At 36.9% G+C, this 25662-nt stretch overlaps 1 long non-coding RNA gene across 1 annotated transcript; it reads right to left on the bottom strand.

Annotated features, from left to right (window-relative positions):
• Positions 1–962: 962 nt before the first annotated feature.
• LOC105375358 (uncharacterized) lies at positions 963–17785 on the bottom strand. Its single transcript, XR_927687.4, has 3 exons — positions 17062–17785; positions 8848–9069; positions 963–1109 (listed from the first exon to the last, which is right to left on the bottom strand). It is a non-coding gene; the product is annotated as an uncharacterized LOC105375358 (long non-coding RNA).
• Positions 17786–25662: the final 7877 nt, after the last annotated feature.

The raw sequence follows: 25662 nt of genomic DNA, 5'->3' as shown, positions 1-25662 counted from the left end.
ACTTGTCATGCCTAGTCTTGTTTCTATAGAAAAAAAAAAGATTTTCCTTGTAACTCTAGGCACAAAATATGTCTTGCTATATCACAGGGGGTAGCATCTTACCTAGTGACATTGGAACAGTCTCCAAAAAACAGTGCACAGAGGGGTGCAGACAGCCTAAACTTGGTAACACATAAGGAAAGACACTGTATACCTCTGAGTAAATGAATGGCACATGTGTTACATTGTCTCCTCCCATGTTCTGGCAGGGATTACACTACTTGCCATGAGCAAAAAAGGAGATGGTATAACGTGAATGCCATTTATTTGCTATTATGATTTTTTTTTTTTTTTTTTTGAGACAGAGTCTCGCTCTGTCACCCAGGCTGGAGTGCAGTGGGGCGATCTCGGCTCACTGCAAGCTCTGCCTCCCAGGTTCATGCCATTCTTCTGCCTCAGCCTCCTGAGTAACTGGGATTACAGGCGTCCGCCACCACGCCTGGCTAATTTTTTGTATTTTTAGTAGAGACTAGTAGAGACAGGGTTTTACCATGTTAGTCAGGATGGTCTCGATCTCCTGACCTCATGATCTGCCCACCTTGGCCTCCCAAAGTGCTGGGATTACAGGTGTGAGCCACTGCGCCTGGCCACTATTATGAATTTTAATACTAGAGAAGTCCTGTGTTAACTATTTACTAAGTGTGTTGACAGCATTCTTTGTGATTTACCACTTCAGAATCCTTAACACAGCACTCAGCTATCAATGCCCAACGAATAAGATTTTGCATCAGAGTGGAAATCTGCTCACCACTCCTTTTGTAGATGTTCTAAATTGGGTACCAGAAGTCAATTGTCTCATTATTAAGATGGTTTCTAAAGTGATTCATTTTTTTGACACTTGACTGTTAGTTGAGGTCTAGCTGTATGGTGAAAAATGTTGATGAAAAGTGTTGTCTACAGAGAGGATAGTCAACTTATATTAACTGTGAGTTATACTAGGAGCAATACTTAATTCATTTGGACTTTATTTGGTCATCTGCTTTTTATATTTAATTTCATTTCTTTTGCCGGGATGAAGTAAAAACAACAACCATGAAGTTCAGTCTCATTTATTTGGCTGGACATGGCATCTAGAGATAAAATGAGAATAAATTATTTTCCATTAATCTTATTAATGGCTTATTCAAATGATTCCCTTATGTTTTACAATTTAATTTCTTAAGCAGTATTCTGCAAAAATCTAGTTCCAAATTTATTTTAGAATTATAAGGCATTTCTCAGAGACATTTTCTGTTTGTTACCTGTTTCATGTTTGTGGTTCAATTTCTATTTTTGCTTTCATCTGTGTTTCTATTTTTGCTTTCATCTGTGTTCTATTTCGATATAGTCATTAGAGATAACTTGAACATGGAGAGTAAGTAGCCTAGCAAAATGTGAAGAATCTTGACACTGAAGTCAAATAGAAAAACTGAATTTGAGCTTTGTGACTTAATACAGTTACATAGTATGTCTCCAACTTAGAAATCAGTTATTTTCTAAAAGTTTCCTAGTGAATTCGTTGTTTGAACATTGTAGTTAGATTTTTAAAACTAATTTCTAAAGTCTAATTACCATATAATATAGTTTGAGAGTTTATATGTTATGAGAAAAAGGCAATTGCTATGGTCTGAATGTTTGTGTCCTCACCAAATTCATATGTTAAAATCCTAACCCTCAAGGGGATGGTATTAAAAGGTGGTTACTTTGGGAGATAATTAGGTCATGGGGTCAGAGCCCTCAGGAATGAGATTAGTGCTCTTATAAAACCTGCTCAAGAGAGACCCCTCACCCCTTTGACCATGTGAGGACACAAGGAGAAGGCACTATATATGATCCAGAAAGTGGACCCTCACCAGACACCAAATCTGCCAGTGCCTTGACCTTGACCTTCCCAGCCTCCAGAACTGTGTAAAACAAATTTCTGTTCTTTATAAGCCACCCAGTCTGTCATATTTTGTTATAGCTGAATGAACTAAAACAGCAGTAGTATGGTAACATAATAATTGAATAACATAGTATTTTATTTATTTTGAATATGTATGATGATAAAATATTCACTTCAAGAGGAAAAGAAATAGCTGAGATAGTTTATAAAACTTCTGAAATGTAATTTAGGATATTTCTAGAAATGTTTGAGCATAAAACTTTTTTAAAATTTAATTACATTTGAAAACATGAATGTGTTTTTATTAGCATTATTCTTAATATTTTCTGCTCAAATCAGGGCCATTTCTGAAATATGTAGGAAAAAAACAGGAAAAGGAATAGAAATTTCAGTCAGGCAATTGGAGAAGAGTTGGAAGTGAGAAAGAAAGGTGAAAGATGATTAAAAATATTTGTCAATTTGCCTCAGGTGAAATCAACAAAGTTTTAAGTGATGAAAGTCAGAGGGAAAAGCAGAGCATCTTCAATATACAACACCCTTAGCTGAGAAGAGAGGAGGTGTTGAGAGAAAGATACTGGATTACAGTTCACAGTACAGCCATGGTTGATATCATTGGCCTAGGATGAGCTGCTATGTCTCAAAAGAGTGATGAGGATATTTTAGAAGCCAACAGAAATGACTACATATTAACTGTTCACATCTAATGAATGTGTCTAGCAGTTAAGCTTCGTAACCCATTAAATGTCTGCATTTCTAAAGACACACAATGAATAGATCAGTTAGTATTTTTGTGCATCTATGGAAGAATTGGGGAGTAGATCACTTAAGGCCCCTAGTGGGGCCTTAAAAGAGTTAGTTTGCCGACACCTAGGAAAATTCAGTTTGTCACCAAACACATTTCCAGGTTAGGTTGATTTACTGCAATGTTGATATCTTCTTAAAATTTTTTTACTCCACCACAGTTTCCTTGGTGATGACTAGTACTGTTCAAAAGCTTTCATCTTTTTCTCCAGAACAAAAATCTGGTGTTTGTTGATGAGTTTATTATCTATGGTCCAGTATAAACTTACTGAGGTGCCCTTTGGTTGTCCCTATGTTTCTTGGGAACACCAGGCAGTTGTCCAGCATGAGTGGCTGCATCTTTCATGTGTGATTTACAGGAAAATTTCTTCTAAAATATCACAGACTTACATCACATCTGCCTATTGCAATCATTCTCTGTCGACTTTTACTGCCTCTAATAAGCTATTTATGAATAATCTAATAATTCAGGTAAATATATGATTAAATTTCTATTCATTGCATTCATTTTATTTCATATACTCTATGTTTCATGCAAAAATACGTAGAGAGATATGATTTATGTGCATAAGTATCTTAAGATAGTGAATATAATCTAAATTAATTTTGTTAAAAAGAATCTATACCTGCTATCTTGGTAGTCATGGTTCATCTTCTAATAATCACCTCCTTATTAAAGCAAAAAGTAAATAATGTGATTTTGTTCAAGTCTAATTATTTTGAGCCTGTTTTCTGGCTGTGAAGGCTCAACAGTGAAATGGTCTCGACATGCAGAGCACAGCTTCCATATTATATTTTATTTAAAGAATTTTTGAACAGTCAAGAACAGCAAGGTCTTGAGATAGATTATTTCTTTCACATTTTCTGAGCAGAAGCTTCCTTTAAAAAAAAAAAAGAACAGCTCTAACAAAATAAACTCAGAGAAGCAATGCCTTCTTATCTCAGTTACAAGTTGTTAACTTAAAGATATAATTGTATTTCCGTATGTTGTAAATAAATGTTCTAAAATGGTGTGATGAAGAAATTTTCCTTGGTATAGTTGGAAGACAGGAATTATTTTTATTAATTAAATATAACTGGATAAAAGTAGAGGCTGTATACGCAAAGTAAAATATGGATTGACCAAGCAGGAAATGATTTACTAGTGCTAAACAGATACTGGAGCTTTCAAAATTTCTAGGGATAGGCAGGAGTGTCTGTGGGTTGACTTTGTGTGCCTGATGCTTATATCAGGGCAAATGATGGAATTCTCTTTGAATAACATTAGGATAAGAGTTATAGGGGAAGGGTGAAGCCAGTTGGGAGTAAAAGCCAGTCCCAGATGCTGCAGCTTCTGCAGCAGCTAGATAGGGCCACCAACTTAGCAAGGATTAGCCTACTTTCCCCAGATTTTTCCAGCTGGTGTTAATCCATTCTGTGAGCTGCAGAACAGAGCTTCTGCTTAAAGACTCTTGAGCTTTTCTTCTTTCTTATTTAGCAAGTGAGTAGAAAGAATGAACACATCTTTAAAAAAATACCTGATAGAATTTGGTTTAATAGCTCTTTAATGATAGTGATCATTTATTTAGTGAACGAGATAGTGTTCTTCCTGTTCTTATTATTCCATGATTTACTTAATAACACAAAGAACCATATTGTTGTCACTAGGAATAATTTTAAAGTCCCTTAATGGTGATGGAATGTCTTAGACATTAGCATGATGCCCTGAGCTTGCAAACCTTTTCTGTGGAAATATGGATGCCAATGAGCAAAGAATGAAAGCCTTTGGAATATGTAGGCAACTACATCATGTGATTTGGAGTATGCTAGAACATTTCCTTAATTTTCCTAAATCGTTTTGCCAGCTGATGCTGAGTCAAAAATTCTACTAGTGAAGAAAAATATCCTTAGTTTAAAACTTTATTTTATATTAAAATTCTATCTTCTTGATTTTGGGGAAGCGAATTATTTCTATTAATTGTATATAATTATTATTGGTAGAACTAATAATGATAAAAATAGAATCATGTTTCAAGTGCTTTGTCATATGTCAGTCACTGGGCCCAATTTTCCATACACCTAAGTCTTTATGAAGACAACAATAAAGAATGCCCAGGTGGAGGAGAGGTTCTTCTTATCCCCATTGCATAGTTAGGGGTATTACAGAGCATTGTTAATCCCCACAGTTTAGGCCACACCATTAGTGATTAAAGGCAGAATGTTCATCCCCAGAGCCCCTTTCTTTTGATCATTGTGTGCCTTGTTTATTACCTAGTTTAATCATTTAACATTGGTAAAGATAATGTCCTGTGAGAATATGAGAATATAAGAATATAATTAGAATGTAAGAATGTTCCTGCACTGGCTCATGCAGTCTCTTCCACCATTGTTTTTGTCAATTAAAATCCTTTATAATCATCCTTCCAGATCAGTTCAAATGTTACAGGCATCAGGAAGTTTGCCTCAGTCCCTCCCATCCATTCTCCTCTCATTGTTGGAGTTCTTTCTTTCTTTGTGCATTAAGAGGATGTGATCTGTGCCCAAATTATAGCACAGCACATTCAGTCTTACTTGATCCTGTCTATCCCATTGCTGAGCTTGTGTATTTGCTTAGGAGCATAAATTGTGTTTGCCATCTTTGAATCCCCAGCCCCTAGCTCTCCTACCTATTGTAGGTACACAACTATTGAACATGTTTTAATTTGTTCCACAATATTGAGTAGAGGGAGTGCAATATTTCTTGATCTTCTCTGAGCTACACCCACCTACAAGTGGAAAGTTAAATCAGTTGGAAGTGCAGGGGAGAGAGGGACACACACACACACACACACACACACACACACACGAAGCTGGCAACAAACACACTAATGTCTGATGACTCTACATTTTTGCTAAAGAGCACACCAGAAGAAAAACTTGTTAGTTTGGTTCCCTGGGGACAAGTGGCATACCAAAGAGATTAAATGACCAGATCTGGAGTGCTTTTAGGCAGAGGAGGGGGCCACTCTAAATCTCAGTTCTCTAATTTGTTCTAAGAATTAGAATAGAAAATACCTGGCATTTAAAAAGATATTTTAGCTGTAATAGTCATAGTGTATTCTTACTGCACAGATGACTATAGGCAAGATTCTTAGCTTTACTGAGCTTGTTTCCTCATGTCTAATCTCCTCCTGGAGTTTCTCATACTTAATTTTGAAATATACTGTTTATAACTGACACAAAGTATCTGCCTGATGAATGATTCTGGCTTCCCCTTTCTCTGGTCCCAATTGAATATCCCTCAATGACTATTTTAAGCAGAGAAAAAAAAAAACAGTTATCTTAGGAAGAAGTTGCCCTTTTTAAAATAGCCACATTTTACCTTGTGCTGGATTTACAGCCAACCTTTGACAGCTTGCTTTGCTCTGATTTTTTTTTCTGATTATCAATTTGTTTATTTTTTAATGACAGCTTAACTAACTGTATCTTAGACAAAAGAAAAATATTGTTTAACATTGTTTCAATGGCCAAGGAATATATATACCAATGTAACTTGGCTATATTACAGCATGAAATATGGGCTCTTTAGCCATAACATACTTCCACTCATGAAGTCACACTCTGTAACCTTCTTTCAGAAGAAAATCCAATTTGATTTTTAGTAATATGCCTCCAAGGACTAAACAGTAAATTTCGCAGAAAATTTATTACGTGAAAACACGATCCAATAGGGTCACTTTCTTTAACAAGTAATGGCAAAAATTTTAAAAAAAGACAGAAAGATTGTAAGAGTTCATTAGTTTCAAGCAAGATTGTTTATACATTGTTAAAATCTTTGTAAACCGCTTTTTGGTGGGTGATAATGACCCCTTCATTTGTGGAATTTGGAGATAAAATGGTTGGTGTTTGGTATGTCATAAAGGTTATGAACAGAATGAACATAGATTTGCTCATCAAATATCAAAGTATTTGAAAGTTTATATAACTTTATGGATTCCTAAGATGTTTGTAATAGAAACAAATGAGGATTGAGGCACATACCTGACCTTTTGAAGTTAACAAAAGGATAAACTCAGTTCTCCCACAAAACATTGCAGAATGTACTTGTCAAAGTAAAAAATGTACAGGGTAGCCCATCTGTCTGAAAACAATCTCTTTTTAAAAATAGAAATGAAATAATTTTTAAAAAGTGAAAACAATATTTTCTCTTGCATGTATAATTTGCAATTCTTAAGGGAGGGGGACCCCTATGTGAATTATAGCAGACCTTCAATGGAGGCTTGTTGAGTAAATGAATGAATGGAAGGAAGAATTGAGGCAAACTTCAGCAATAGGAAAGCAAGGTGATCCTGTGGATTATCATGTAATATTCCAATTCATAAATCTCAAGCAGTGGCAGCAGTTCCAATTAAACCACTTACAGGTATTATTTTATTGCAAACCAGAATGATTGCTGATAAATCAAGAAGGTAAATCTTACAAAATGTTTACAAAAATTACATGAGGTATGTAATTTGGATGGGGAATTGATGCATGTTGACATTTGCTTTTGCTCTTTATTTTTATTCATTTATCTAATTCGTTAATTTTATTTACTTTATTTACCATTGTTTTTACACATATTTTCTTTGTCTGCCTCTTGGCTGTTATCTATTGTCTTCAGGCAAAGCCCACGTGGCATGGCTGAGGATGTTGCCCCCACTAAGTTGCTGGTTGCAGCAGCTACTAGAAGAGCTAGTAGACTCGTCATCTGGTCAGACTATTTGCTAGTTCAAATGGACACTGCCTGTCTCTCACTGTCTTTTTCTCTAAAGAAAACATTAAATTTACTGAAAACTTGAGATTTAGAAAGGTTGGAAAGGCTACATAACACAGGACCTTAGATTTGGTGGTTGCATATGGTACATGCAAAAGGCTGCTTAATTATGAAATAATGCCAGAGTGCTACTTGAACCATTTTTTCCTGGAAGGAAACTTCAAATAAATGTCAAAAAGTTATCAATTATTTAATGCAAATTCCATGAGTTCACCTGGGTGTGTGTGGTGTCCTTTAAGGAATAATATTCAAAAAAGAAGCTCATCTTACAAGCAGTGGGCTTTGAAGGTCTCCTTTTACTTTCGTTTTAGTTTACTAAGACACTGTGTCTTTTAGGTTCATTCCTAAGTTTCCTTTGCTGCATTTTTCTTTGTAGCATTATCATCAATCCACCCAGACTGCGGCATGAGGTCTATGTTTACAAAGTACTAATGCCTTCATTTGGGCTCCCAATCTTTCTTTCTGATCTTCATACCTGCTGTTACAGACAAAGTCCAGCTCTTTAAACAATAGAGTTTCAGACAAACATCTGTCTCCCCTCAGAAGCATTTCTTCACAGTCCAGATAGCCAGGAAGCCATTAAATTCCAAATCCAAGGTTGCTTCCCAGGACAAAGCGTGAAGCCAGAATCTCAAATCTATAGTCTGTTCACATTTTCAAGTGAACATGGTTGCCTTTTAAGGAGAGGCTAGTGTCTCTGAAAAACTTCACTTAAGAATTAATTGCATATATGAATCAAAAACAGACTAATCAACAAGTAAATGTTGAATTTTTCATAGGCTTTTGGCAATTGTTATTATAATAGACATTAAAAGACAAATGCATCTATCAGTCCATTTAAATCAGTGTTATTATCCATATTGACTTACAAATATTAAACACATCTTCCTGTAAAACATAATAACATACCCTGTTTTAGAACTTTTTGAAGGTCCGTGTGCAGCTGAAGAAATGTTCGTTAATGCTTCTGGTACTTATCCAGATCTGAGCCAATAAAAGTTAGCTTATTTATAAACAATGGTCCCCAAAACTTGCCTTTCCAGAATTACAAATTCTACAATGAATCATCTGTATTGTCTGATATATTTTCTAAATTTAGGATGCAATTCATTATCTAAATCCTTGCATATTTCAAGACTTCTGCCCTTCGTTCTTTAGTGTGTAAATGTAAAATAAAAAGTCCCTAAATGCAAAGCACAATGTAACATGATAGAAACCTCTTTGTGTTAGAAAATTACATGTCAGAACTGGGTAATCTATAATACCAATTAACCAGCAATGATAATTATAAGTTCTTAAGAGCTAGCAGATTTGTTGCTCTTTCTTAGAGATGATTTTTTTCATGTACTTTTGACATTTTTCCCCTTACCTTATTTTGTAAAGTCCGCTTTGTGAAAGACACAAGACTATTGATAACAATAGATGTTTTAGGAATTGGCAAACTTTTAAATCCTAGATGGAATGGCAGAATAGCCCCTCAAGGAGGGAATGGACTTTATTTATTCTTGGTGAGTTCCGAATGCACAAAAATAAAGGGCTTGCCAGTTGCCAGTGGGAAGTGAACATAATTATGACTTCACAGCTGCTTTTCCTAAAGTAAAGGGAGAGAAAAAAGGAAGAGTCATACTTTTTTTTGTACTGTATCTAAAAAGAATATGCACAAAGGGAATATTTTTATGCCAGATATAAGAAGCCATAATCAAAGTAATACTGTACTACCAAACTTATGCCAAGAAATTCAGAAATCTTGACTTGGCGGACTGTAAATCAGAGATATGCATCTATAGCACTCTAGTAATTAGAGCAATGTGTGGAAAATTGAGGTCCTAAAATATATTCCCAATAGCTTGTTTCCCCTGATGAAAGTGGAGTGATCTTTCAGCAAAATCGTCATCATCTACTATACTGGTTTGACATTTGCAAAGCTCTGTTCAGATAATTCAAAACTTGGTGGATCTGACTCTACAGTGTGTGGTCTTAAGAAATGGCTTTTGGAAAGTTTTGTTTGGGAACTTGAAAATTACACTGCATACATGCTATGAGATACTCAAGGTAACCAGTTACATCTGCCAGGGCTGATATATTGTTTAATGTAGAACAGTTGTTGACAAATTTTTATGTAAATAGTGAAGTTGTAAATATTTTAGACTTTGCGGGCCATATAGTCTCTATCCCAGCTATTCCACTGTGCCATTGTAGCATGAAAGCAGCCTAGACAATATTTAAATGAGCAAGCAAGACTGTATTCGAATAAAACCTTACTTACAAAAACAGACAGCAGTTGTATTTGGTTCTAGACCATCGTTTGCAGACTCTTGATCTAGAAATTTCTAGTCATAAAGCTGGACTTGCAAAAGCCAAATAGTTATTGGAATCTTTATCAAAACGGAGGTCTTTTTTTAATGCCAATAGAGCTTTTAAGGATAATTTAAACATATGGATGTTTTCCTCAAGATGTTTTGTCAATTAGTAGTGGAGAGGAGGACACCAGCAAAGAGCAGTCCTTTATCAAAAACACTGCAAAAATACTTTGGTTACTTGCTTCCTTACAAAATCATTCTATCAAGCAACTGCATGCAGGAACTTAGATTGAACACAAAGCTCCAAATATTTTTATCTCTATTGATCCCTAGCAGACGTAACAGAAAGAAAAGATGAACAGTCAACCTGATTTCAATATAGATATTTTGTGGCAGCAAGAAAGGAGATGCCAGTTGAATCACAATTAAATGTGAATCTGCTTGAGGCAGCCTCATGAAAAAAAATAATCTTTTAGTCTGCCTCCTACATTCAGAGGCTACCTCAGTCTTCTGAAGAAATGTTAAATTATCTGAGGGATAACTCTAGGTGAGTCAAGGGTGATACCTTTCCCTGGGTCTTCCAGTAATCTGCCATTGACCTCTATATGCCACTTAACTTCTATTTGATCTATTTCCCAATTTATAAAATAAAGGAGAATAAAGAGATGTCTGTAAAGTGGTTTAAAAGCCCAAGTGAAAGGCCATCTGAAACATAGGATGGCTGAATTTCAAAGAGTCAGGAGGACACTTTGGCTATTGAGAATACATTTTAAATCACTTAAGTGGACACAGTAATATTCTTGTGAATGCCACATTACTCAGCAGTATTCCAGAGGGTCAAATAGATAAGGAGGACATGAAAGATTAATATTCAAGTTAAGCCTTTTGATTAAAATCGATATGAGAAAAACATATAGAAGGAATGAGTTTTGAATTGATAGTTGTTATTTTGTGATGTCAACATAGGTACATAGACAAAAATTCACCTAGACATTTTTCAAAGGCTCTTTTGTATATAATCGAGGTACTCCAGTTTTTTATTTTTGTAATATGTTTTAGCTACTTTTAGTCTTACTGTAGTTTTATATAGTCCTCTTTCTATTGTTATAAGGCCCAAACTTGAACATTTTTAGCAATCCAGATCATGCTATAAAGTTAACGTCATAGAAACAGCATAAGGTGGTAGACTTGTGCTGGGCTCAGTGTTAGAATCTTTGCTTTCTCTGGCTTTATTTTTTCCACTAGTAGGGGCAATAATAAGAAGCTTGCCGTTCTTTTAGGAGATTAAACGAGTATTGAATGACAAAGTAAGTGCTTAACGCTTATAGATGTTGAGTAGTCAGGACTCAAATTTGAGTCTGAAGGATGCTGATTCTGAGATACTCAGGCTTGGCTTGGTTGATTTCTCTAATAGGAGAGAGAAAAGGTATAACTAATTGCAGCTTTCCCAACGAAGGGAGCATTGACATGACAATTTTCACTGTGTGTTAATGTTCTTATTGCAAAGTATTTAACATTTTTGTCCCCATCCCCAAATGCCAGTAGCCCCCTGCTGTGGTCAAAGAATATTCTTTCATTTTTTAAAATATAGTCAGCCCTCTGTATCCCTTGGTTCCACATGACAGGTTCAAACAACCATGGCTTGAAAATATTCAAAAATTTTGCATCTATATGAACATGTATAGACTTCTTGTTTCTTATCATTATTCCATAAACAATACAGTGTAACAGATATTTACATGGAAATTACATTGTATTAGGATTAAAAGTAATCTAGAGATGATTTAAAGGAAAGGGGAGAACCTACACACAGGTTATATGCAAATATACACACAGGTGTGTAGGTTATATGCAAATACTACACCTTTTTTATGTTGGGGACTTGAGCAACCATGGATTTTGGTATCCAAGGGAGGTCCTGGAACCATGCCTTGATTGATACCAAGGGATAACTGTTACCTCTTTAGGAGGGGTCAATACAAAAACTGGATGACCATCTAAAACACTTGTGAATTCAGTGGGCAAAATATTATTTTGGCATTGGAAAAACACCAAAACATGCTGGCATACCTGAACTCTCCTCAATGCCCTGGGATCTGCTTAGAGACTAGGGCAGAGATTAAGATGGGAAATTTTACAAATTAAAGTCAATACTCAAAAATAACTAATGATCAAAAGGATCCACTTGCCCCACTGCCACTCACACCCCCACCTGGTTCAGCAACATAGAGCCATGGCAAAATGGTCACACGTCCCTATATCTCACCAATGACAGACACTCAAAGGAAGCCTGGCAGCTTAGGGCTGGTGACAGGCTATCAGAGTTGGAGGGCCCATCGTTTGCTGGTTGACTTTAGATGAGCTTCTTTACAAACGAGGTGTACATAGGAAGTTGTGGGCCAGAATCAAAAGGAAGTTCTGTTGCTCTATGCAGAGAGGTGTGTTGTTTATCAAAGGAGAAGAAGAGAAGGAGGGACAATCGGATTTAGAAGATTATTTAATTGTATACAACAACTGTAGAAGTATTGAAGTTTTTGTCCCATTTAATAGATGGTAAAAATAAGCTGGTTTTACCATCATTCTCAGCAAACTATCGCAGGGACAAAAAACCAAACACCGCATGTTCTCACTTATAGGTGAGAATTAAACAACGAGAACACTTGGACACAGGAAAGGGAACATCACACATCGGGGCCTGTCATGAGGAGGGGGGAAGGGGGAGGGATAGCATTAGGAGATATACCTAATGTAAATGACGAGTTAATGGGTGCAGCACACCAACATGGCACATGTATACATATGTAACAAACCTGCATGTTGTGCACATGTACCCTAGAAATTAAAGTATAATAAAAAGAAATAGGATGGTTTTAGTGCTCATACTGCTTCAGGGTGGGTACAGCGGAAGCTTTGATTAAGAATTTATGAATAAATTTTTCTTTCACCTGATTATTTTGATTCTACTATGAATAAGCTGAGAATTGCTTTGGAGAATCTGTGCAGGCTGCCTTGAAACAGAAATACAAGACTGATTGGTCTAGGGAAAAATATGCCAGCTGCCTATACTAACAGCACCCATTCATTGGGATTTTAGTGTGCACAACGTTATTGTGTAACTGAGTCTTTATTATAAGAATCATAAGATGTTTGTTTTACTTAGTTTTCTCTTTTCCTTGCCTTTTTCTGCCTCCATGCATGCTTGCTTGCACATAGTCATTTTGGTAGAAGGTAGTCACTAGTAACTTCATATCCTTACACCCCTGGCCTGCAAGATTGATAAACTGTATTTTTTTTGGAGAAGAAAAATGAACCTTAGGTCACACAAACCTTGATGGCATCCAGAAGTCTGATCAGGCCAAGAGACATAAACAGCTTTGGTCTTTGGGGTATCCCATTTCCTGTATACCTACCTGACTCATAGAAGCCCCCAGTTATGTGTAAAGGAAGGTTGGACTTTAGAGACTGTCTTTCCTGCCCTCTCACTTTGGCCAAATTGAATAAACATTTATGCTGATGTGTCAGTGTTTGGCTTACTGTGCATCAGGTATGTGAACCTAAATTTTGATGTTAGATAACAATTATCCAAAGCATTTTGTATACTTTGTCCTTCTACTCTGCACAATAAATCCATAAGGTTTGTATTTTCATTATAGTCTCCGTCTTCAGATGAAGACGCAGAACTTGTAAAGTCAAATATCTTATTGAAATCACAGAGTCAATAAGAGAAAGAAGCTGGAATCAGACCAGGGCTCCTTACTCGGGGCTCATACCTAGCCTGGTGGGAGTGCTAAGGAAGGAGGGCAGAAAGGCAAGTCCCATGCAAGCAGAGGAGAGTGATTCCAGGATGGATCAATTGGTACCCATAGGACTTCTTGAGATGCTGAATGCAGAGGCCTTGAGAAGCCCACAGTTTCTAGATTATGTACATACCCAGACCCAGTGGATATCTATTTAGTTTTAATTAAAACCCTCCCTTCTCCAGAAAGGGAATGTGAGTCTGTATCACCCACAATAGGACAAATCAACAGATGAGATTATCTGCATGGCCCTTTAAGGAACCTTCCCTACCTTCCTACTCTGTTACACTCTACCTACAAGATGAGACTTTCAAAGGAACATCATTTCCCCTTGACTCAGACAGATAAAAGAAATTTGACTCCTAGTCACCAGGAAACAAGAAGTCTCCTCCACAGTCTTTTGACCTTTTGTTGCTCCAAGAAGGACCACATGTCACTGCTTTGCCACTTGAGGCCATTAAACCCATTTCGCTCCTTTATATAACTGCTAAACATAGACGCTGAAATGAAGAAATACAGCCTAAATAAAGACACCAATAACAGCTTGCATGAAGTAGTAAAAACAGTTTTGCAGAAGGTTAGGAGCCAAGGCTTTTTCCACTGTCAGCTTTAAAGGTGTTCTCTTTGACCAGCCGCAAGGCTACTTCACCACAGGTATGAAATTAGAAATTTTGAAGACTATTGCACACAATTTTCACAGTGGATCAGCCAGAGGTTGTTAAGCAAAGAGAATGCTGAAGCCATAATATACTGAGATGACAGAGGGGGCTCATGAGTATTCCTGCTTCCATGCTCTGTGGGCCAGCCACAGCAGCAGCCACTGTTTATGGCATCCCTGACTTGGATATGTGGTTTGTGCCTGTTGAGGGAGTGCTAAGAGGAGAAATCTACAGAAAAGCCGTGAACTAGGTGGTTGAGCCAAGTGGGCCAAATAGACAAGAACTTCAGATGCAGGAAATTCCCTTCCAAAGGCAGGTGATAATGGGCTCTGACTTCTTGTCAAATTACCCATCAATCAGGGCTTTAACACCAAGCTAGTACAGCATGGTGATCAAGCCCAGGACTTCTGTAGATAAGTAGAGCTCAATCTAATCTGACTCTGTATGGACTAATGGTGTGGCCACTGGAAAATCACTTTAGCTCACTAAGGCATAGTTTCCTATTCTGTAAATTGGAATTAACATTAGTACTTACTATCTAGGGTCGCTATGAAGACTAAATACTTAACACAATGTCTAGGCCATAGTAAATGCTTCATTCATGGGAGTCATCGTTATTGAGAAGCTTTCTATGTGCACATCACTGTTCAGAGAACTGGGTACATATTAAAGTAAAAAGCATGTGGTTTAGTCCTAGGGTGCATATAATCTAGCTGGATTGACAAGAAAAGTACATGCACAGAAAAGTTAAATAATATAAAGTAGCATACAACAAAATGTTAATTGTGCAGCATGGATGATAAGTGCTTTATTCATTTATTCATTCATTAGTAAAACACACACCGAAGACTTCCTGTTTTGAAGCAATGTAATAAGCACAGAGAAGGGTAGGAGAGCTTAATCTCATAGGAATTATTGCATGAAAAGTACTATTGTTATCTTATCTTGAAATTTGCTTATGGGAAAACTGAGACTTAGACACAAAAAAGGAGCATACCGAAGTTCTCACTAGTAGTAAGTTAACAAGGTTGGGATTGCAACCCAGACCTGCCTGACCCCAAAGCTCATGATTTTGTAGAGCAGTTGTTAAGAGAATAGAATCTACAGCCAGAGAATCTGGGCTCAATCCTGACACTGCCAATCATTAGTTTTGTGATCTTGGTTAAGTTACTTAAATTCTCTGGACCAGAGTGTCCTCATCTGTAAAGTGAAGGTAGAATATTAGTATCTACTTCATGTGGGTTTTGTGATGATTAAATGAGTTAATCTATTTAAAAACATATCAGTGCCTGGAACACTATCAGCACTGTAAATATAAACTCTTATTATTGTAATAGTGAACACTATAATTATTACTATCTTAACTGAGCTATGGCATGTGAAATGTTTAGAACATTGGTACATAATAAGCATGCAGTAATTAGCTGTAATAATAATTATAATTATAAAAAGAAGGGTAGTCAAGGCAGGCTACTTTATATCAGGGACTTGAGCAGCCACTGATTTTGGTATCTGCAGGACATCTTGATTCATAGTCGAATCAAAATAAATAATAATAACAATAGTTATTATTATGACGACCTAATGAGTTACACTGCCCCTGATTGGTTTACTTGCCTTCAGTCAAAATTGTCCTTTTCTGCTCCTAAACTTCCAAACTATTTCACTCCTGTCAATGGTATCATAATACCCCCATAACACAACATTATTTAAAGAATTACTGTTTTCATTGTCTTCAATAGATAACGAAAGAAATCCTAGGATTAGAACGGGCCTTCCTTTAATTCTAAATCGTGGTGCTATTATGAGAATTAATCTATGATTACATGTAAACCACTATAGGACACAGTATATGCTCAATAAAGTTAGTTATTGTTGGTATAATCAGTTCATATACTTTATTTCAATATGTCACAGAGAACAAGTCCTATCACTTTTGCTTTAGAACACATCTCATATAATTCTATCTTTCTACAAACCCTAGCTGAAATCCTTGGGTGCCAGGCTTTCTATTAGTGTAATTCATCCTGTGTACCACTGCTGTTACCTTCAACACTGCTTAGACTAAGAAAACCACCAAGATTTTCTATTTTCCAACACCAACATGTCAGACACTTCTCTCCAATGGCTAACTCAATCTTCTCGGACTTATTTTACTGCTCATAGGGTCACCATTCTGGTCGAAATTGTCCCCTCATTATCTACAATGCCTTTTGTCTTATGTTGACTTTGGACTACACTCACGTGCTTTCCCATTCCTTACCTGGGAGCCTTTGATTTCACGCTCTGCTGACTCAAATCTGCCTCTTCTTCAAAGCTAACATCATGTATCACCTTTTGCCTAAAGCCTGTCCTAATTAACTCCCTTCAGCCCTTCCCTTCTCTGAAACCCTATAACCCTTGAGTCTTCTATGCCTAATGCAGATATGATACAGGGATATGTTATAAAGAGGTTTAATACATGGCCTCCTGAGTAATATTACCTGAATTCTAACATAGCTCTGCCTCATCTTAGGACTGGGACTTGGGCCTCAGTTTCTTCATCTGTCAAGTGGACATAACAAGAGCACCTATCTCATAGTATTATTTGTGATACTTAAATGACATAAACCATGAAAAGCACTTCGCATAGTAGTTGATGTGTGATAATCATTCAACATGTTAGCTATTAGATGTGGTTGTTATGATGAGCACTCACCACCTGTTTGTTGAATGAATGAATTAAACTATTGATTTCCACACAGCTTTATAGTCTCCATGTTTAGAGGAATAAAATAGATTGTACAAGATATCTGAAAATCCCAAAGGGATGCATAGTTACATTTACCTTTAGAATGTTGCCAGTCTTTGATGTCACAGAACACACAGTCTGAGGGTTTAAATGCTCTCCTCCTCAAATTCTGTTTTTTTTTCTCTCCCACCCATCCTTATTGCCAACCACCCCTTAGTTGATAAGTGGAGAAAGGAAGAGGGTTATGAAGATTTCAGGTCACTGCAGATGAAACATACAAAGACAAACCCAGGGCTTCCCATATTATATTGAATATAGAGAATGCCTTAGGGGAACTCTAAGAAGCTTGAAGTCATTTTCCCTTTAGAAATCATAAAGAGGTCAGTGATTTATAATTCAGAAGAACAATGGACAGGAAAAGTTCTCTACCTGCCCGTGCAAGCAACGACTGTCTTGCGAGGCTTTCTAATGTAGTCAGAGCTTCAAGGTAATTAACAGCCCTTTTTCCCTAACTGCCTGCTACGCTTTATCCTAGAGGCACTTCTGCTCTTCTCTGATTCCTTTTGGCTTAAAAAATTATTTTTTCTGCCATTCTCATTTCTCCTCTGCAATCCTGTCTTTCTCTCTTTTTCTCTTTAGTGGTCTGGCTTTGGTGCTGACCCCACCGTGCCCTCTCAAGGGCACTTAGCAGAGCTGTTGTCTCAGGCTTGGGTGTGCTCCCCATTCTCTGACCGGTAATAGAACAAAGGACAAAAGGCCATCTCTCCAAGTCACAATATCTCTTTATTGAAGCTTTGTTCTGCTGCTTTGAGCCTTTTCTCTCTGATTCACTGGACTTGCATTTGAGCAACTTTCCCATTTCTCTCTTTTCTATTACCTCCCAATTCTAGAATGACTAGGTTAGACTCACTGTTTTCTTGTTTCTCACTTCCAATAAATTCTTCGACACACTATTAACATTTGAAGGTTATATCAGAAGATGGAAAAATCAAGTGAATGCCAATATTCTTTCCTGGGTCCCCTGCTCTCCGGCTTGGCAACTGAAATCCTGGGTCCTACATTTTCCCTCCTAAACCACTTCCAAGGTTGGCCTTCAGAGCTCTTAGGACTAGACTGGCTGGTGGAGGGACTGGTGCTCTCAAAAGGCCTTTCTTCTTAACAAATCCTCCCTTGCTCGAATGGGATCTAGAAGCAGATTTGGAGGCTTGTGGAAATGGGGCCCATCAACATTCAAGCATGTATCCTATTACCATTTCAGGCATTCTTTGTGGCTCCATCATTCTGTTTCTAAGTCTCATTACTTCGTTTGTCCTTTAGCAAATATATCCCTGGTCTACCACATACCTCCTCCTCTCCATTTTTAGTGCCGCTGCCTTAATTCAAGTGCTATTTGTTGAAGAAGTGTTCCACCAATACTTGTGTTAGTTTCCTTGGGCTGTCATATAAAAAGTACCATAAGCTGAAATTTATTCTCTCACAGTTCTGAAGGCTAGAACTCAGAAAAGCTGTTGACAGGGTCTTGCTTCCTCTAAAGGCTCTGCGGGAGAATCTGTTCTGTGCCCTTCTCTTAGCAGTGGTGTTGGTGACAGTCCTTCATGTTCTCTGGTCTGTAGCTGTGTAACCCCATTCTCTACCTTCATTGTTATGTGGCATTCTTCTCCCTGTTTCTCCGTCTTTTCCTTTTTTTATAAGGAAAACAGTCATATTGAATTAGGGCCCACCTTAATGAACCCATCTTAACTAGATTTCATCTGCAAAGATCCTATTTCCAAATGAAGTCATATTCACAGGTACCAAAAATAGGGCTTCAACATATCTCCTGGGAGGACACCATTCAACCCATCACAAAACCCTCATAGATCTCCCTGCCACCCATATTTTCCTTCTCTAATCCACCCTCTTTATACCATCCAGTCAGCTTTCTAAAATACTTATCAGATTATTTACACTTGAATTTAAAAATTATCTGCCAACTTGCCATTTCTTTTAGACGAAATCTTTAGAATTACATTTCAGGTCCTTTTCATTTTAGGTACTTCCCATGTTCCTTTCCAGCACATCCTGTCATCCACTCTCATGGATCTGGCAGGGTATGACTTGCTCATTATGTTAGAATGTTCAAGGCCTTGTGTATATTTTTGCTTTTTTTTACCTAAGCTCCATTCTCTTTTAAAATGAATAACCCATCCTAGATTTTTTTATAACCCTTTGTTTATTCCATTTTCTTATTCATTCTGAATTTCTCAATGCCTGGTACCTATTATCTGCAAATAAATGATATTGAATAAATGATTTCAGAAAGGAATAAACAATTTGATAATTAATGTTACAAATAGTTTTTTCTTCACCATGATCTTCATAAGTTCTAAAAACTTCATAGTTATTTGTCAATGTAAATACTTTTCTCAAATATTTATAGCATAATAGCTAAGAGGCAGGTTTTGGAAACTGCCTGGTTCACTTAGAAGTTACGAGATTTTTTTCAGCCCTTTATTTGACCTTCTTGTCCTTCAATGTCTTAATCTGTTAGATGGGAACATGAATTCCTAATTAACAGAGTTATTAGAATAAAATGTATTAGATAAAAGAACAATCCTTAGGGTAGTGACTGATATAAATTAAATGGTTAATATTTATTTGTCATATTGTCTTTATAACTATTATATTTATAATATAGTTATTATATTTATATTTATATATTATTATGTAATATAATATATAATATAAATATAACTATTATATAACATATTTATAAATATAAATATAATAGTATATACTATTGTAAATATAGTATAATAGTAATATTTATTATATTTAATAAATATAATTATTAAGACATATAATACTATTATATATCTTTTTAAAAACATTTATTTTAAGTTCTTAAATTAATTGTTATTTTAAACCACATGATCACCTGTTTTTCTAGTTAATTATCTACAGGCTACAAATACATTTTATATCACCATTCTCAATTATAATTGAGAATATAATATATCATTGTCTCTCTCCAACCACCCCCCGATTAAAGTATTGAATTTATTTTATAACCCAGGTGAGTCCTATGAGACAGAGGTAGATAAAGTTGGCCTTGATATGTGGCATTGGATTTAAGAATAATAGCTGTGCTGGGCGCGGTGGCTCACTCCTGTAATCCCAGCACTTTGGAAGGCTGAGGTGGGTGGATCATAAGGTCAGGAGATTGAGAGCATCCTGACTAATTCTGTGAAACCCCATTTCTACTAAAAATACAAAACATTAGCCAGGCGTGGTGGCACGTGACTGTAGTCCCAGCTACTCAGGAGGCTGAGGCAGGAGAATCGCTTGAACCCGGGAGGCGGAGCTTGCAGTGAGCCGAGGTGGCACCACTGCACTGTAGCCTGGGCGACAGAGCAAGACTCTGTCTCAAAAAAAAGAAAAAAAGAATAATAGCTGTAACATGCTCTTTTTAACAATACTGTTTGGTAACTGTTCTTTTTGGATGGGAAGCTAATGACAGCTACTCATGTTACACTGTCTGGCATATGACTATGAAAGACACTACACCAACAGAGGACAATCTAGGAATGTGTTCTTACGTGACTATAAACTTTCATTCACGAACCACTTTCACTCATGGTTGCCATAGAGTGGATTCTCAACAAGTTGTAAATCTGTGTAATAATAATAATTCTGAAAGCAACTTGAAAACAAAGTAATAATGGATGATGTTGACTCTCCTCCTAAATAAGCACATGTGCCTTCTGAGGCTGTAAATACAACTTATAAATTATATGGATGGACTCTATGGAAAAATTGTGCATGACCATATAGGTAGTACTCCTTCTTAGGAGGAAAAAAACAAAAAGCTGCATTCACATAGAAGATAAGATTCAGTATCTAATTTCAACAGCATTTAACATGGGGCTCATTTTGGTTTTCCCAGAAAAAGAGGAGGCAGGAACTAAAAATTTGATCTTACAGTCTCTCTTTCTCTCTCTTTCTTCTTTGATGTACATTAGTTCCCATGGAAACTACATTGGGATGGCTTGAGAGTGACATCTACAAATGCAGTGTAAGGTCATTTTTATCTAATGCTTTGAAATTTAAACCATGATTTGTGATATATAGTGAAACCTCCTTAACATATTCTGAAAGACTATGAAAAGACAATATTCTGAATGCAAAAACAAGACATGTGACTGCATTATGCCAGGTCTCAGAAAGTTCAGCATTGCGATTTGCATAGAAAAACAGAAAGAGCTTCATTTTTCAGTTTGCCTCCGGGAGAGTCCTGGCAATGCAGTTGGCCTCCTTAATATGGAAGGAAGAAAACCCTTCCTTCTACCTCCTTCCTTGGCGTGATCTCGGCTCACTGCAACCTCTGCCTCCTGGGTTCAAGCGATTCTCCTACCTCAGCCTCCCAACCCAGTAGCTGGGATGACGGGCACGTGCCACCACCATGCTCGGCTGATTTTTGTATCATTAGTAGAGACAGGGTTTCGCCATGTTGGCCAGGCTGGTCTCGAACTGCTGACCTCAGGTGATCCGCCTGCCTAGGCCTCCCAAAGTGCTGGGATTACAGGCGTACCATGCTGGCTTTTTTTTGTTGCTGTTTTTTTGAGATGGAATCTCATTTTATTGCCCAGTCTGGAGTGCCATGGTGTGATCGCAGCTCACTGCAACCTGTGCCACCCGGGTTCAAGTGATTCTCCTGCCTCAGCCTCCCAAGTAGCTGGAATTACAGCCATGTGCCACCATGCCCAGCTAATTTTTGTATTTTTAGTAGAGATGGAGTTTCACCATGTTGGCCAGGCTGGTCTTGAACTCCTGACCTCAGATGATCCGCCTACCTCGGCCTCCCAAAGTGCTGGGATTGTAGGCGTGAGCCACCATGCCCAGCCTCCTTCCTTGTTGCTGGATCCAGTGAGGCCACCAGGTAAGGGACAAGGGTTTAAGGCTTTAAATGCTGCAATAAGTAACTGCATGTGGACTCTGATAAAGCTGCAGGGGTTTTCTTGCTTCTATGGTTCCTACCAGCACTCTTGGCCTGCCTTTCTTAGGGCACTGATGTAATTTCCTTTATTAATTTGCCAGTGTTTCACCTGTAAATTCCAGGTATATTTGAAGGGAGATATATTTCTAAAGGAAGAAACTGAAGCCTTGGGCTCAAAATGACTTGAGGTTTAATGGAATGTGATCAGCTTAGGCTTCCAATGTACTCTCCAGCGAAGAAAAGTGTAGATGCTGAGCAGGGAGATATGGATTCAAATCTTGACTCATTTGATTTCTAACTATGTGTCTTTAGCAAGTCAAAACTTTTCTAAGCCTTAATATACTGATCTGAAGAATGCTGTGAAATTTTAAATGGGTGAGCATGTGAAAAGGGAATAATGTATAAGAAGTGTTTAGTACTAGTTACATACTGGGATCTCAATACAATTGTGTTGCGTAAATGAACTTTGTTTGTATATAACTTTGTTCTCATCAAAATCCTTTATATGGAAAGCTGTGAAAATAACTATCGCTTATCTTGTATCATAGTTAAATGTGGGTCAAATGGCTATCTCTCCAGTTTACAGTCACCATCTGTAACATGTGGGCTGTAAGATCAGTTTTGGCAGCAAAAGTGAGGGCCGGAGGAGGCACCTGGGTTGCTGCATCACCTCCATTCTGGCTACATTGGCCTAACTGCAAGTTTAGGCTTCGAGATGCCAGCTAATATGTCAATGATTGGTACACACTAACTCTCTCTTCCCCACTTAAAAAAATGTTTAATAAATCTCATTGTTTAAAACTGATGATTGTAATAACAAAGAGAATCATCAAGCAAGCACATTTGAAAAAATGGCTGATGTTTCTGATGACATTCTTGTGTGATCTGCTGTTCCAACACTGTTAATTTTATCTACCCGAAGAAAAAGAACAATACATTCTTCATTGATATAGTAAGTCACATTGCTTCATGTCTCTTGCCCACAGACTTAAACTTTAAGAGGCGTGTAAATAAGCAACTTAGCATATGTGACCTCCTGACCATGAAGTGTTAAATTCCAGGAACTATATTACTCCACCACTTTTATTTGTCTGTGGGAAATCAGTTGATTTATGCCTGTTCCCAGGATACAATAAAAATGTGCAGGTATGCCAAACTAGAACTATTAGAACCTGTCAAATAAAAATTTTTGTTGCCTTTAAAATCTGCAAATAAAAGTAACCTTTGATTAAGGATAATACGCTTTATATCATAGTTTTATCAGTATTCAGCAAAACATATCCAAACAATTTAATTTCAATATAGTATAATACATCACAGCCTTTGAAGAGAAAGATCCCCTGCCTGATGAGAAGAAAAGTTTCTTATTTACAAAGGAGTTATAGCAAAATGGCAGTTCTACCAGCACAGACAAGGTAGATTAACAGAAACATTCAGCCAAGCAGGGTCTGAAGTTTCTCAAATTTGGCTTATTTACATTGTCCATTCATTCTTATTTTATGGGCTTTAGAACTTCAGATGGGGTCCAGCTAGGATTATAAACCAAAGTGCCAAAATAACCCACAAAACTGTTACAAAGGAATTCCCAGCTCGGTTTTCAGACTCAAGAGTTTGGAATCATTTCAAAAGGATTCTCAGCTCTTACATATTTTAGGCAGGTCTACACTGATATAGAGTGAGACTCAAAAGCAACTTGGAGAATTTCCATCTCATTAACACTTCATTTACAGTACACCTATGTCAAGCCTCAGCCTTGGAGTTCTGGTCTTGGCTTAAATGAGGGAAAGAGAACTTCTCTAGCCAATACTGAGCTGAGTACAGATTCTGTTGTGTATAGTCATGATTGAAGCATGCTCACATCACCTTTGAACTCAGATTTCTCAGTATTCTTCAAAGGATGAAATATTTCTTTAAAAAACTGTATGCCTTTATTTTTTCTCTGTCATTAAATGTTGTATATTTGTATTCTGGTTCATTTTTCAAACTGGATTTTTGATGGTCAAAATTATTAAACAAAATCACTTGGGTTTGGAACATGTACAATCCCACTCTGAAAACACCCTGTATAAGTTGGGGTTTAAGAAAATGTCACTGTGGAAACCTCAGCAGCAGTTAGACAGGGACTGTGCCTCATTCACTTTTGTGACCCGAGTGTTTAATGCAGTATCTGTAACATTGCAGATGCTCAATGTTTGAGAATGAGGAAATAAATGAATGAACGAGAAGGAAATTTTCCTGAATGCATTCAGTTTATTCCAGACAGACTTTGTTCAACACTCCGCTGTGAATCAGAACAAGACCTCAGTCAAGCTGTGGACTACATAACATGACATAGGTAAATCATCACTGGGGCCCTGTCAGGTTCCAGGGAAGCAGGAAAGCAGGAAAGAGCTGACAGCCACCAGGGTCATTGTGCAGAGTATATCAGAAAGTGGTTTTAGCTGACTAGTGGGTTGGAGGTCTTGTGGTGTCGGGAGTGCACAGCTTTATGCTTAGTTTCTAATAACTTTCAATTACCTGTAATTGTGATCAGGTAATGAAAAGTATCGGGGACCTCCAAAATAATTTATATTATATAAACATATGTATATTTGACATGCTATGCTTCAGACTTACATTTTTAATTGAGATTCTCATTAGTCAAGACTAAAATCAGTTATTCTCATTGTTATAACTCACTTTCACTAAAGCTTATTTGAGATTAAAATATAATGTGAAAAATTCAAAGATAAAATGACTATATACATATATGTATACATATACACACAAGTGCATGAAACATACTTTTATATGAGTATACACATACTCACATAGCAACAACACCTACATGATTCTGTATTATTTATAATGATATATAGCCCATTATATAGATGAAAATATGTGTGCATATACATACATATGGATTAGGTATATATAAAAGTGTATACATTTATGGAATGGTATGGGTGCTACTATTATGTGAGTATATGTACTTGTGTGTATATGTGTGTTTTGTGATGGCACCATTTTTTATCCACCAAATATTAGTGAACATTTACTGCATTTAGGAACTCTGCTGGGCACTTAGGATATAAAAAGTGAATCCGTCCAGACCCTGCCTGTAAGAATGTCCTGCTATAGTGAGGGAGCCAGATTCATGAACCCATCTGTGCAGTTTAAAGATGATGTAGGAAAACAGTTTATAGAGGGGCTTAAGAAAAGAATGTTCCAAATATTCATCAATGCCTTCCACTTACCACATGCAGGCCTTTCCTCTTTCTTTCTAGTCCTATTTATCATCCAAGTAATGAATTTTCAGATAATTTTTTTCTTTAATAAAACCTCAAAATGGTTGTAAGTGTTAGTGGGAAGGTTTTGATTTACGCCTCTAAAAGCTGTAAAACATTTTGCTTTTCCCAACATCACATGAAAATTTGTTGCTTGAACTTTGGAGAGAATTCTTCCTTTTAAATTTCTTCCCTTTTATCATGTTGTAATTTGTTAAATGGAATGAATCATTAATGGATTTCTTGTGATTTTTAAAAGTAACCACATTTATATATCTTAGCAACATTCAGAGAGTGTGTGCAACTCTGTAGACACCTTGGAAGTAAATATACACACATAAATATGCATGATCAGACTGATGAAAAAATAGCATTGTTGTTTATGTCATGATCTATGAGTGCAGGTATGGTTGGAAAATCTGATGAATTATGAACATTCTGTTTCAGGGTTTTCAT

The sequence above is a fragment of the Homo sapiens genome, chromosome 7 (assembly GCF_000001405.40).
Source record: "Homo sapiens chromosome 7, GRCh38.p14 Primary Assembly".
NCBI lineage: Eukaryota > Metazoa > Chordata > Mammalia > Primates > Hominidae > Homo > Homo sapiens.
This window is presented reverse-complemented; position numbering and strand designations above follow the sequence as displayed.